At 38.4% G+C, this 14862-nt stretch overlaps 1 protein-coding gene across 1 annotated transcript in view, besides 3 other annotated features; it reads right to left on the bottom strand.

Annotated features, from left to right (window-relative positions):
• ATP10D (ATPase phospholipid transporting 10D (putative)) overlaps nt 1–5089 on the bottom strand; it is a 108212-nt gene extending 103123 nt beyond the window's left edge. Inside the window, exon 1 of the mRNA NM_020453.4 lies at nt 4845–5089. The gene's annotated coding sequence lies outside the window, so the exon portion shown is untranslated. The remainder of the gene's footprint in view (nt 1–4844) is intronic.
• Nucleotides 4917–4986: an enhancer, noted in NCBI's record as "active region_21531". NCBI's record gives its function as "activates an Ori minimal core promoter by ATAC-STARR-seq in GM12878 lymphoblastoid cells {active_cell/tissue: GM12878}" and the evidence as "EXISTENCE:reporter gene assay evidence [ECO:0000049][PMID:35858748]".
• Nucleotides 4917–5252: a biological region, named in NCBI's record as "Sharpr-MPRA regulatory region 5912".
• Nucleotides 4958–5252: an enhancer, noted in NCBI's record as "tiled region #5912; HepG2 Activating DNase unmatched - State 1:Tss". NCBI's record gives its function as "activates a minimal TATA promoter and a strong SV40 promoter by Sharpr-MPRA in HepG2 cells {active_cell/tissue: HepG2}" and the evidence as "EXISTENCE:reporter gene assay evidence [ECO:0000049][PMID:27701403]".

Genomic DNA, 14862 nt, shown 5'->3' with positions numbered 1-14862 from the left:
ATAATGCTTCAGATTCAGGCAATTATTTTTCGACCTTGGCAAGGCAGAAATGTTGATTTCTAGCTAAAGGACATCACAGATAAATAGAATATTTGTGAAGAAAATATCTGAGGACATCTCTCTAGGAAAGAATTTAGTAAAGAAGAAGAGATGTTATAATTTAAAATGTTAACTAAAACCTTCTAACTATATTATTATAGTCTAATTAAGGGGAAATGAAAGTTTAAAAACACAGGCTAAGTAGTTATGAATCCTATAAATCAAAGAAAAAGATTTCACAACATTTTGAGACAGGTCAAAATTGATTTTCACTTTCCTTCTCATAACCAAGAAAATTATGATTTGTATTACCTAGCCTACCTAAAGAGTTAAAACCTTGTAAGTTTTACTAAGAGGAATGTAGTAGTACCCATCTTCCTCATTCAAAAAGGCCTTAAGCTGAATAAGCAGACTTTAGAAAAAGAAATTAAGGAGTATTTAATTAAAACCTATCAGCCGTAGGCCCTGGCAAATGAAATCAACAGGAAATTAAAGGGAAGTAAAGCTCAAATCTGTTCAACAATGCTTATTATTTTAGAAAATAGGTGGAGGCGAAACAGTGAATGTGAGCAGAATAGCTTTGTTTTGTGATTTCCCTTATAATCCAAATGTTCTCATCAGAGAAATAATTCAGAAATAATGATACCTAACATAAAAGTACACACAATAAGGGAGATGGGGGACTTTGTGAAAGAGGGGATATATAATATCATATATGTGCTCTTTATACTAGGACTAATTGCTTCATTAGGATAGTGACTTGTTTTCTCTGATAACTAAAATATAAGTCACTGCAGAAACTTTAGAACTATATATTAACACCATGAGAAAAATACAAATCAACTATAATCCTACCACCCAAATATAAATACTATTAATCTTTGGTTTATTCCCCACCAATAAATTGGGTTCTGTGCATAGGTTGATTTTTTTTTCAAAACTAGGATATCATTTTGTAACTTGCTTTTATCCACTTCTCATACCATAAACATTTTTCCATATCATGAATATTTTCTCATATTACTGAATAATTTTCCCAACAAAATGATACATTTTGATTTGTTGTCCACGTTTGTTAATGTGATGTGTGAAAATGTGGTAATTTATCGCTCTGCTGGGATTCTTTGATTATTGGGAGGTTAACATCCCCTCTACCCTAACCTTAGACAATTAAAATTTTTTGTCTTTTGCGAATTGCTCATTTATATCTATTTCTCATTGGGGATCATTTGTATAGCAGTATTCATCTGTCTCCGTCTTAGTCCATTTGGGCTGCTATAACAAATTACCATAAACTAGGTGATTTGTAAACAATCAAAAGTTATTTCCTAAAGTTCTAGAGGCTGGGAAGTCCAAAATCAAGGCGCCAGCAGATACTGTGTCTGGTGAGAGCTCACTTTCTGATTCATAGGTGGCACCTTCTCACTGCATCCTCCCATGGTGGAAGGGGCAAGGCAGCTCTTTGTGGCCTCTTTTATGAGGGCACTAATCCCATTCATGAGGAATCCTTTCTCATAATCTAATCATATTCCAAAGCCTGTACCTCCTACTACCCTCACACTGGGGATTGGGAATCAACATACGAATTCAGAAAGGGAGGGAACAAACATTTAGACCATAGCAATCTCGCACTGCTTTTTATAGTATCTTTTTAAAGGGAGCATGTAAAATACAGAGCTTACCATTTATCTTTTTTTTTTTTTTTTTTTTTTGCTTATTATATTTCTTGGTGATATTTCTGAAAGTGGTATTTTGTCATTATAAAAATAACAGTTGCTTTAAAAGATTTTGGAATATTAGGAAAAATATAAAAAAGAAAATCAAGCTGTAACTTTACCACCTAGGAATACATTTTCTAGGGGGTGGGGGAAATATGATATTTTAATGGATATGCCTATTGATGCAAAAGAAACTTGTATGCAAACAGGAACTGCATTAATCTTTTTCAATCCTTATTAATTTAGGACATTGTCTTAGAGTAACAGCTTAATAAATACTTTTGATTAAATGAATTTTATATATTTATTTCAAAATTATATTTTACACATAAGATAATATATTAAATTTCACTTTTTTACAGAATACATTGCAAGTATATTTCCAAGTCATTAAATTTTTAAAAAACTTTTGTAACTGAGTTTTATCAATATAGATACATAAACTACACTAATTTATTTAAATATTTTGTTATTGGGGCTTTGTTTCCATTTTTTGTATTACAGATAAGATGGTAATAAACATTTATAAATCTTCATATGCGATTCATATTATTTCCTTAGGCTATATTTTTAGACCCAAGATCACTTAGTCAAAGGCTATGAACATTCACAGGTTTTGTTTTGTTTTTGTAGAGATGGGAGCAAAATGGGACCATGCAGATACTTGAACCCTTGAGCTTAAGGGATCTTTCTGCCTCAGCCTCCCAAAGTGCTAGGATTACAAGCATGAGCCACTGTGCCTGGCCCAACATTCACAGGTTTTAATACATAATACCACGTAATTGCCTCAAATAGTTGTATTGATATACCTTTTATTGAGTAGCATTAAAAAAATTCCATTAAGGCCACAACTCTTTTACAAAACTAGCATCACTGTTAGTCCTTATTCTGCAAAGCGATAAAAAAGTATTGTTTCTATGGCTAAAATGATTTCTGAAATGAAATAAATTTATCTAAGAAAATATCGAAGGAATAACTGACGAGGAATAGTGATAGCATCCAGCACACATATATTTATTCCTAGAGTTGATAAATCAATTCTCCTTTTCTTCAAGCACTATTAAATTTATATTTATCAGTGCATTGTTCTGTGAGAATTCTCAGACAATCTTACTTGTAGCATTTTCTTTGATTCTTCTTCATTAGAAGAACTACTTCCAACTATATCAGACAATAAAGAAAACATGTAATGAAGGCTTGAATATGTGTACATTTTTTTAACCCTTAATTTAAAAAGTCAATTATAGGAAGTACATTTGTCTGACAGGTGAGTCACCTCTGTTCTATTATAAATTATAATCATATTTGAGCATTTCCCTTCGTTTTACTGACAATAGCAAAATAAATGAGATTCTATTTTTTTTTTTTTTTTTTTGGGGGACGGAGTTTTGCTCTTGTTGCCCAGGCTGGAGTGCAATGGCCCGATCTCGACTCACAGCAACCTCCGCCTCCCGGGCTCAAGCGATTCTCCTGCCTCAGCCTCCCGAGTAGCTGGGATTACAGGCATGCACCACCACGCCCAGCCAATTTTGTATTTTTAGTAGAGACGGGTTTCGCCATGTTGGTCAGGCTGGTCTCGAACTCCTGACCTCAGGTGATCCGCCTGCCTCGGCCTCCCAAAGTGTTGGGATTACAGGCATGAGCCACTGCGCCCGGCCCTATTCAATTCTATTTAGTCACTAAGTATGAAAAGTATTCAGGTTTTGCTAAGCCAGGGTCAAACACTCCCCACATCCTAGTTTAGAGTGCTTAGATTTTCCCTCTTTTTCATGCAATTTAATGAATGTTAAATTAGCATGAAAATTAAATGTTATTTTTAAACTCCCTAAAACTTTAAAATGTTGCTAAGTTATTTTTCCAAATGTATAAAATGACCTCATTTTAATAAAAATAAACTATCTCAATGTAGGTATATGATACGTATTTGTAGTGAGAATAGAAAACAGTCCAGAAGAAGCAGTTATTACTTTTTGAGGTGGATCGGAGTGGGAGGTTCTTGCTGCGGGCACTGAACAAACTACTCCGTTGCAATGATTTTTGCTCTTCACAAGTCAGCAAGGGTTTTCGATGATGCTATTCTTCACAGAAATGTGACCTACATGATTTAAAGGCTGATACAAGTAAATATTGGTGGATGAGGAGCCCCTGTCCTTGTTGATGCATCTCTCAAGGTTGATTTTGAGTTAGAGGTTTGCTCTGTCCATACAGACTTGTTTTTCTCCCTGCTTAGAACCAGCATGAAAAGAACGCAAGAAGAAACTTTGGTCTTATTCAGATCACATTTTAAAAACCTGAGCTAGCATGATAAGAGCAGTTAAAACATATTCTTTCTAAAGGCACAGGGTCCCAGACACCAAAATAACCATCCATTCCCTAACCAACTGATGTCTCTCTGCTGTACGTGGTAAATTAAAACTACATGTTTTACAACGTAAAATAAAGGGTGCCCCGAATAACAACTAGGTTCTTTAAAGTTAGTGTTTTGGGGGAAGCATGGGGGCTTCTTTGTAGCACTCCTTTGAAAACTATTTCCGAGAAAGCTCCAATACAAACACCTTTTTCTTCCTAAGGAATCAACCTTAGGGAATCAACCTTAAGGAATCAATCTGCTGGGCTAAATCTTCAACACCTTCCCTTTTCATCACCTTTGAGGCAGATAACCAAAATTTCTTTAAACTGCTTATTTCACAACGGGATGACAAAGGAGTGTGTGTGTGTGTGAATGCGTGTGTGTGCGTGCCCGTGTATGCCCGCGTGTACAAAGGTGTGTGAGAATGCGTGTATGTACGTGCCCGTGTGCGCCCGCGTGTGCAGTTTACCTTTTTACAAAATCCAGCATTTAAAATAGATTTTTAAATTCCCCTTTAACAAATGATTGAAAATGGTGTAATCATTTTATCTTTTGTTGTTTTTTTTTTTTAGTTCAGTAACAGCCCAGAACTGTAGTTTTGAGCCATGTCATCAAATCTAAACACGACTAGGGAAGTGGAGCGGGGAGAAACAGGAGAGAGAAACAGAAAGGAAAAGCGGGTGGGCGGTGAAGCAGAAGGCTGGGACAGTCAGAGGGATTCGCCGTCTCACTCTTACCAATTCCTCCCTCGGCACACATCACAGCATGTTGGTCACGAGTCGCAAGGTACAAGAAAAGAGCTAAGCACAAATTCGAAGAGTGAAAGCGGGTTGTGCTTCCACGCCAGCCATTTGCCTTCCGGGAAAAAAAAAAAATCACTTAGACATCTCCCAAACTCAGCTGCGGGAGCCAGCGCCGGAGCCTGTGCTGAGCTCGCAACCTACTTCTCCCTCCGCTCCTCCTCCCGTCTCCGCCAGGCTGCAGAGCAGCCCGAGCTGCAGTGCACCGCCAATCGCCCACCGCCCCGCCCTCCGTGACGTAGCAGCGGCAGGGCCTGGCAACTGACCGGCTCCCAGCTCCAGCTGTTTGACCGAGCTGCCCTTCTGCCCAGCGCAGATGCCCCAGTGACCCAGAGCCCTTACAATCTCACCTCTGACTTTCACCTCCCAAGTACAGGTTGCTCGCGGTTGACGGTTTGGTTCATTGTTTTGCTGCAATTCTAACAATTCACTGTTTTAGCTAAACGTGGAACACTGGACAATTATTTTTTGGAGGGTAAAAGAGATCAAATCTAAAAATGTCGCGCCACTGCATTCCAGCCTGGGCGACAGAGTGAGACCCTACCACAAAATAAATAAATAATATGTAATGTTACTGTTTTTATGACTAGAAAAGAAATGAGGAAAAATATTACAATTCTGATTTGGTCGTTTTCCTCACACCTTGCCCTTCCGTTCCCTTACTCAGGATAATGTGGCTTTGTCCATACACCTGCCAAGGTCCGTTTGCTTAAAATTCACAACTTTTTTTAAAACTTCTAAATAAGTTTCAACAACCTGTCTGGTTTCTCAAAATGTCTAATTTGGAAAGAGGAAAAGCCATTTAGTGAAGGCCGAACCAATAACTCAGAACAAAACCTAATAATCTTGGCTGCCTGTTTTATCCCATTGAAACAAATATAAAAAGTGGGGCCAAACTCTCCACAGCTCTCCTATATTGTGCCTCTCTCTTCCATTCTCTCAAGTGTTTCTCAGATGTGCAACAAGAGTGAAGAAAACTAAATGAGCATGCAAATGTTTGACTATTAGTAAAGAGCTCACCAGTACAGACACAGGGAGCTGGTTGGTCGGCTTGAAAATTCTCTCAGACCAAGAGAAGCCAAACAAGTTTCTGCACCCACTGAGAACGTGCTTCTGCCAGACGAGGAGAAACAAGTTCTGGGTGTGGCTTCCTATGATGCTCCATTAGGGAAGCCTCCATCTGCAGGTAAGGACAAATCTCTAGAACTTAGTCAAACTTAATCCCCAGAATTAACCCAGCCTAGTAGAATACACTGTCATTTACATGGCCTCTGAAATTCCTGGCCCTAGTAGCACTTTTTGCAGTCATATGACTGTCTCTAACATCCTTTAAGATGAAACACATTTCCTATCTGAGAGTCAACCTTATAGAGGAGACTTAAAACTGTAGCTGGGCCCCCCTGAGCTCTCCCAATCAAACACTGGTGTTGTTACCTCAGCAGAGGGCCTTCCTGGGAACGTACATACCAGGACAATTCAGGCATGTAGCCTGTTTGGATTGCTTAAATCAGTGGTTCTAACTAGCTACACATCAGAGTGAACCGGGGAGCTTGATGCCAAGGCCCCACCCAGGCCAATTAAACCAGAATCTCTGGGGGTGGCGCTATGGCAATGTCTTTTTTTCAAGCTCCTCTAGAAATTCTAATGTGCACAAGGGTTGAGAATCACTGACTAAGATTTGAATTATTGTCTTAGAAGAAAATCTATTATATTTAAGTCTAAAGAGCATAGTAGTAGAATAATGGAAAACATTATGTAATACAACTTAGCCTTATACATATTCTTTATATATTGGTTTATTTTAATATAAATATAAAAACGTGAAGATACACCTCAAAATTGTTTACTCAGGGAAGGATAGTGAGGGGAGATTACTAGCTTTCTATTTGTGTCTGTCATTTGAATGAAATTTGTATCATTTTGATAATTTAAATATTTCTAATCAAATTTTTAAAAATCAATACTCATAAATACCATGAAGGTCATTGGAATAACCACTATTAAGGTGGGTTTCTATCAATTTATTAGGTTTTGTTGTGTTTGGTGTTTTCTTTTTGCAATGCTTCTGTAATATCCAATTTTCTCCTCAGAGTGATTCCTATTTTGAAAAAGACAAAATACGATTCTTAATTTAAGACATTAGCTACTTTAAATCTATATAGTAATTTTTAATTTAAAAGATACTTACTTTCTTGTAATTTCAGAAAGGTTTTCTTTTTTGCACTTCTCAGGAAGTTTTTTAAAAAACCAATATTTCAACTGTATAATATAGAAGTGAGGGAACTTCATCTTTTCCAGCTAGAAAATTATTTGGACTCTCAACACTAATAACTCTCAATACTTCATAATTAATTGTCAATGCGAAATATATGGCACAGTAGTCAAATGCCTAGGTTTGACCTGGTTTTAAATCTTGGCTCTGCAAATTTTTAGATATGTGATCTTGGGTACCAACACTAAGCTCTGTAGGTAAAATGGATCTAATAATATCTTCCTCTGTGTTATTAAGACTATATGAAGTTAGGTAGCTGAAGTGCTTATCACTGTGTAAAACACTTAATAGGTGCTTAATAAATGATAATTATCAATTTCCTAACTTCTCTTTTTCCTTTCTTAAACATACTCAAGGATTATTAGTATGGCAGCAGAAGACAGAGTTATCAGAAAACATTTTTCTAAAACAGTAAACAGGGTTCTTCCTAGAACCTATTATATTTGTTATACAGTTATATGTAAAAGAGAGACATATTCATTATTTCGGGCTACTGCTTTAACATGTAACGTGTAAAGCAGCGTGGTTTACTTTTGTTTACCTCAAAATATTTCACATTTCCTAAAGTGGCACACAGGCTGATTTCTTATGATTCATAATCAACCACTGCTTTTTCTTTGTACTTGTTATGAGTCAAGCACAGATTAGGACATTTCCCACGATCAGTTTTCTGACTGACTTTTGGAGAAGGAGAAGGAGGAGGAGGAGGAGAAGAAGAAGAAGAAGAAGAGGAAGAGGAAGAGGAAGAGGAAGAAGAAGAAGATCAATGCTGCAGGCAATTAAACTTGTCCCTTGTAGATGAGCCCTGATTTTAACAACATAATCACAGGATTTTATGTCTCTTTTTTTCTTTCCTCAATATTCATTGAGTGCTAGTGAACCATTTCTGTTAGACACTGTACTAAGAAGTTTACAGCTATGACTTCGTGTATTCCTCTTATCATCCCTATGAGGTCATTCTTCATTTAGAGATGAGACATCTGAGGCACAAAGAGTTAGAGCAACTTATCCAAGATGGCAAGACAGCAGGTGAAAGAGCTGGCTTGAGAACACACATTCTTAATGGAGCTCTCTACTGTGGGCTAAGCAGCACAGCTTTCAATAAATTAGGGAAGTGAATAGTAAATGATTTTTGTTGGGATAGGGTAAAACCATGCTATGACTATAACTGCCTTGTTGACAGTAGAAATTCTTTATTTCTAGAAACAACAAGGATATCTACATTATTATTACTAGTTGTAAACATAGATCTTAATTTTATGTGTGCGTTTTTTTTTTAAAGAGGAAATACATTTCCTTCCCTTTGTATCAGGTGAGTCCCTTTCGTCCATAGGAGAACAAATTGGCTTTTAACCTTGTAAAAACCTTTAACATGCAATGATTACACAGGATATCAGAAAGGGAAAATCCAGATTAGCAGAGATCCAGGCTGGCCCCAGAGTTCTGGATAAGTCCGTCAACTATTTATTGATTCTGTTTATAATATCAAGAACACTGGTAATAGGACAGTAGCACAATTCCTTGTATGAAATGATGGCCCTTTAGTCTAGGAAAGATGATTAGTTTCTTATTTAGACAAAGATAGGTACCAGAGCTTTTTCTGAATAAATGTAGTTAAGAAAAAGAAGTATACATTTCTCTGGATAATGTGTATTTCCCCTAGTGACCAGAGAAGGCAGGAGTTTGGAAACTTTGGAGAGGTGAAAGGATGGGAGATAGTTCTACCTAGAGAGAAGATGGAATTCAGCTTCTAAGGAATGATATGTAATCTTGCATCAAATGTGGAATAAGACCCATGACCAATTCCCTGAATAGGTATTGGCTGAGTGACTTTCAGAAAGTAATATCTTAAAAGTTTCACTTTTAAGCTATTTTCTCTTTCTATGGTGCTGTATTCCTCACAAATCAGAGCTCAGGCAACAGGCTATGGGTACAGTGCAAGATAACACTATCAGCCTCTGCAACAGCTGCATGGGACCTGGGGTGTCTGGAGCCCACCATGGATAAGAAACTCATGGATCTGATGAAGAAGCCTGTGTTCCAGGCTCTCGAAGAGCACAACAAGTGGCCGAGAGAATGTTCAGTGGGGTTGGCGAGGAGACTGGGCCAGCACAGCTCTAGACACCCCAGGTCCCATGCAGCTGTCTTAATTTTCACATATCTTTATTCTTTATTTTCACAGTATGTTCTGCAAATAAAAGCTTGGCATAAAAAACTGAACTGGATTCAAAATCCATTCACATTATCACAAGGAATTCCAGTATTACATTACCCAGTAAAATATTAGTTGGAATATTGTGACTGCCAATATTCAACCAGTTTTGACATAAAAATGATAGCTTTATGTGGTTCAACTAATAAAAAAAAGGACTATTAGCATCTTTAGGTATAATGTCAATTATTGCACAGTCTGGTATGGTTGTAAAAGTCATTCATAAGCTTTTGTCACATATTTGAGTGAACAGAATTTCTCATTGAGAGTAATTATCAAGAATTTGAATGAATCATTATAAAGTATCAAAAATTGTAACTAGACATTTTAAGCATAAAACCTCATATGAAAATGCACCCAAAAAGAAGCTAGACACAAAAGTCTACATATTGTTTGATTCCATTTCTATGAAATTCCCAGAATAGATAAAGCCATAGAGATCGAAAGTAGAGTAGTAGTTGCCAGGAGCTGGGGGAAGAGAGGAATGGAGCATGACTGTGAAGGGGTACAGGGTTTCTATTTGGTGTGATGAAAATGTTCTGAAATTAAACCACTTAAAAGGGGTGATTTTTATGGTATGTAAGTTATATCTCAATTAGAAAACATATAAGAAAAAATGTTCACTGAAGCAAGCAAAAGATAAGAATTTTTAAATGTTTTATGAGGATATTGTATATGAACTCAAAGTTTAATATTTTTCTCAATACTTCAAATTTTAGTTTTTAACAATTCTGTAATACAAGGAAAACACAATGAAACTTTATACCAAGCCCCACAGAGATCAGTTAGTTTACTTCATGAGGCTGTACAGGTATCATTTTTCATGAGTGCTAGCACATGAAAAAGTACTAAAATCTCTCTGCTGTATTATCCTCCAACCTGTAACGAAGTCTGCTCTGACCACTGCCCCTATCAATTGGGTCGGGAAAGTTGGGAAGGAATGTCTGCCTGAGAGGAAGAGGCCAGAGAAAAGATGGCAAACTTGGAGGCTATATGACCAGTTAGGATTAAAAATTCATGGGAAGGTCGGGCGCAGTAGTTCACACCTGTAATCCTAGCACTTTGAGAGGCTGAGGCGAGCAGATCACTTGAGGTCAGGAGTTCGAAACCAGCCTGGCCAACATGGCGAAACCCTGTCTCTACTAAAAATACAAAAAAATTAGCCATATATGGTGGTGGGCACCTGTAATCCCAGCTACTTGGGAGGCTGAGGCAGGATAATTGCTTGAATCCGGGAGGCGGAGGTTGCGATGAGCCGAGATTGCGACACTCCAGCCTGGGCGACAGAGCAAGACTCCGTCTCAAAAAACAAAACAAAACAACAACAACAACAACAACAACAAAAATTCACAGGAAGCACAAATTCTGGCTAGGAAATGATTAACCCCTCCTTTCTCTGTGAATCTTGTAATCAGGAGGAAGTTCTAGCTATTTTATTTGAATTTTGAGGGATAAAGCAACCTTAGAAGGCAGAAAGAATTTGAAATATGTGGATTAAAAATCAATTCTACAATCACTAGAAAAAGTTGGACCAAAGTGAATTAAGTCTTCAGTTTCAACCCCTCTGTACCCAGAACTTTGTATATTTTGTTCATTCACTTATTCATTGAACAAATATTAATAGAGCACTGAATATGTGGCAGGCACCATTTCGGGCGCAGGGAATATACAAAACAAACAAAAAGCCTTGCTCCTTATTGGATGGATGTAAAATATTTAATATAACAAATGGCAATGTGTGCTATGAAGAGCACTGCAAGGTGAGGAGGAGAGAGAGTGCCAGAGTAGGGGAGAGGGATAGCTTTTGATTTGGGGAAGGTCTTACCAAGAATGTGACATTTAAGCAAAGATCTGAAGTAGGTGAGCGAGAGAGCCATAAGGGTGTCTGGGGATGGAGCATTTCAGGGAAAGAGAACATGCAGTGCCTCGAGGCAAGGGTGTGCCAGCTATGCTGGAGAGGCAGTAAAGCACTGGCGTGCCCAGGGCACTGTGATGGGGGAACAATGTGGAGGTGTCAGTGGGAAGTAGTAAAAGTGACATCAGAGCCATAAAGTCATGGAAGACTTTGGATGTTACCCTGTGTATACTGCAAATATGTAGATAGGTTTTGAGTAGAGGACTGATACCGTCTGGCCTGTGTTCCAACAGGATCCCTCTAGCTTTTTTTGTTGCCAATAAACTGTAGGGAGCATGGTTGATGCTGGGAGACTAGTCAAGAGGTGATTTTAACAATCCTGGGGAGAGGTGATTTTGGCCTAGGTTAGAATTGTAACTGTGAGGGTGGTGGTCAGCTTCTGGATATATTTTGAAGGTAGAGCTAATAGGATTGTTTGTAAATTGTGTGTGAGTTACAAGAGAAAGAAAGGAATCAGGGATAATTCCAAGGTTTGGGGTGGAACAACTGGAAGACAGAAGTTTTTAAATTGTCCTGATTATTGCTTACCTGCAGAATAATTTATTGCTAACAGTCCCTGGATCTGACCCTGATGGGGATGGTAAAGAGTATGTGTGTGTCGGGGTGGTAAGGTTTTTATTTTGTTTTCATAAGTGCCTCAGTATCTGATAATTGGCCACTTGGAATCAACAGTTATGAAGCATGTATTCCTTTAAGGATAAGTCTAGCCGGGCACTTTGATCCCCTGATAGTATTACTGCTAAAAGCCAATTATATAGCAATACATTTTTTCTTTACTTATTTGTTTCCCATTTAGATACATTTTTTGAAATATTTCACTCTTCAGTTCAGTATCTTTAACAGAATCTTGCAAAAATTTCAAAAGAGAAACTAATGATTTCAAAGTTCAAAGTGAAGTTTCAGAGGGGCTAGCAGAAGTTTTATATAGGATTTGTCATTTCAATGGGCCTTAAAATGTGAGCAAGAATATCCTGATGGAGAAAACGAGGAAAAGCTTCTGGCTAAAAACAAGAAACAAGAAGAAAAACACAAAGATGTTAGAGTATATGGCATATCTGGGAATTTTAAAAATATTTATGTGGTCAGAATATTGTAGAGAAGGAAAGAACAAAAATTAAGGCTCCACTGTGAAGGTTTTCAAGAAGGAGAGTTGTGGTCCGACCAGGGCTGTAATAAAGTAACCTAAAATAATGGGTAGTGTGGCACTGCAGTGTGAGTGAAATGAAACGAAGGCCTGAAACAAGAAACTGGCAGTGAGTGTGGAAAGGATGGTATATATTCAAGAGTTTGTGCAAGGCCAAGTCTTCCCTGTTATGACAAGAAAAATGAGAAGGAACAGAGCTCCATCCAACAATTTAGGTTGTATGCTGGCAGGAATGTTACTGCTCTGCAGGAATGGGGTCAGTCAGCGGGTCCTGAGCTCTTCAGAAGATCCCTGACCTGGATAGGCTATACTACCTGATGTATTTTTGGTCTGACAGATGAAACAGCACTTAAATTGCAATAGGAAGTGATATTACTCCGTTCATTTAGTTGCCTTATAAAAAGTCTAGTGCAAGTTTCCATGCTGAATGTAGTGATATCCCTGCCATCTACTAGGTGAAGTGTCAAATCTCCTTTTTGAGTGATTTTGCTGATCAAGTTCCATTATCAGGATGTTCATTCATGGAAATATAACAATAGAAAGTCACTAGGGCCATGGAATTCATACTGATCTCCTGTGTGCCATGGAGGGGCACACAGTGAACTTCAAAGGTGCTGGTCATGTTCTACCATTTCTTTTTTTTTTTCTTTTTTTTTTATTATACTTTATGTTTTAGGGTACATGTGCACATTGTGCAGGTTAGTTACATATGTATACATGTGCCATGCTGGTGCGCTGCACCCACTAACTCGTCATCTTTTTTTTTTCTTTTGAGACGGAGTCTTGCTCTGTTGCCAGGCTGGAGTGCAGTGGTGTGATCTTGGCTCATTGCAACCTCCGCCTCCTGTGTTCAAGTGGTTCTCCTGCCTTAGCCTCCTGAGTAGCTGGGACTACAGGTACGCGCCACCACACCCAGCTAATTTTTGTATTTTTCACAGAGACGGGGTTTCACCATATTGGCCAGGATTGTCTCTATCTCTTGACCTTGTGATCCGCCTGCCTCGGTCTCCCAAAGTGCTGGGATTACAGGCATAAGCCACCATGCCTGGCCAATGTTCTACCATTTCTTAAACTCAGTGGTGGTGTATTAGGGTTCTCCAGAGAAACAGAAGGAACAGGATGTGTGTGAATGTGTGCGTGTGTGTATGTGTCAGTATAGGAAAAGAAAGAGAGAAATATTTATTTTTAGGTTAGCTCACAACACTGTGGGGCTATTAAATCTAAAGTCTGCAGAGCAGGCCAGCAGGCTGGAGACCCAGGGAAGAGTTGATGTGGCAGTTCCAATTAGAAGGCAGTCAGCCAGCAGGATTCTCCCTTTTGCGGGTGGGGCCGGGGGGCGGATAGGAGGAGGGGAAGATCAGCCTTTGCTTATTAAGGTCTTTAGCTGGTTGGATGAGGCCCACCCACATTATAGAGGATAATCTACTTTCTAAAAGTCTTCTGATGTAAATGTTAATCTCATCTAAAAAATACCTTCACAGACATATCTAGAATAATGTTTGACCAAATATCTGGTACTGTGGCCCAGCCAAGTTGATACATAAAATTAACCATGACAAGCGTGTACATGAGTCTTCCTTTAAACTATAACTACACATTAAAAATAAAAACAGGCCAGGTGTGGTGGCTCATGCCTATAATCTTAGTACTTTGGGAAGCTGAGGCAGGAGGATTGCTTGAGCCTAGGAGTCTGAGACCAGCCTGAGCAACATTGTGAGACTCCGTCTGTACAAAAAAATTAAAAATTAGCAAGGTGTGGTGGCACTTGCCTATAGTCTCAGCTACTGGGAAGGCTGAGGCTGGAGGATCACTTGAGCCCAGGGAGTTTGAGGCTGAAGTGAGCAGTGATCACAACACTGCATTCCAGCCTGGCTGACAGAGCTAGACCCTGGGTCAAAAAAACAAAACCAAACCAAAAACAAAGTAAAGGGAAGAATCTAGAAAACATCCTAACTATTGCCTTTGTCGGCCAGGCAGGCAGAGTTGAGAGGCAGAAAGGAGGGCTGCCCAGACCCCCACAAGAGGCTGACTCCCTTGCTGTATCTGAAACTGCTTCTGCTGGCACCTGCTGGCATTGACTATTGCTATTATTTAAATCCACCCAGGCTATCATGTTTCATGTTCAGACTAATTTGAATCATTTGTCATGTAGAAGACACAATTCCTGAACTCACAGTAAGCGCAGAGCAAGGCAAATATGTATTATTCTGTTCACCAAAATGATGTTTCTTAAAAATGATGTGTTTATTGAAGTTCCATAAATCAAAGTTTATTTCAAATGCCTTAGAGAAGCTTATTGTTAAAGAAGGCTGGTGATGAATTCCTTTACAATTTCAAATTTTGCTATGTTCCTTTTCTTATAAAAGGGCAATTATTATGTGCAGTGTACTCTACTAGCCTGCTAGATTCTGA

This window comes from Homo sapiens, chromosome 4 (genome assembly GCF_000001405.40).
Source record: "Homo sapiens chromosome 4, GRCh38.p14 Primary Assembly".
Classification (NCBI taxonomy): Eukaryota; Metazoa; Chordata; class Mammalia; order Primates; family Hominidae; genus Homo; species Homo sapiens.
This window is presented reverse-complemented; position numbering and strand designations above follow the sequence as displayed.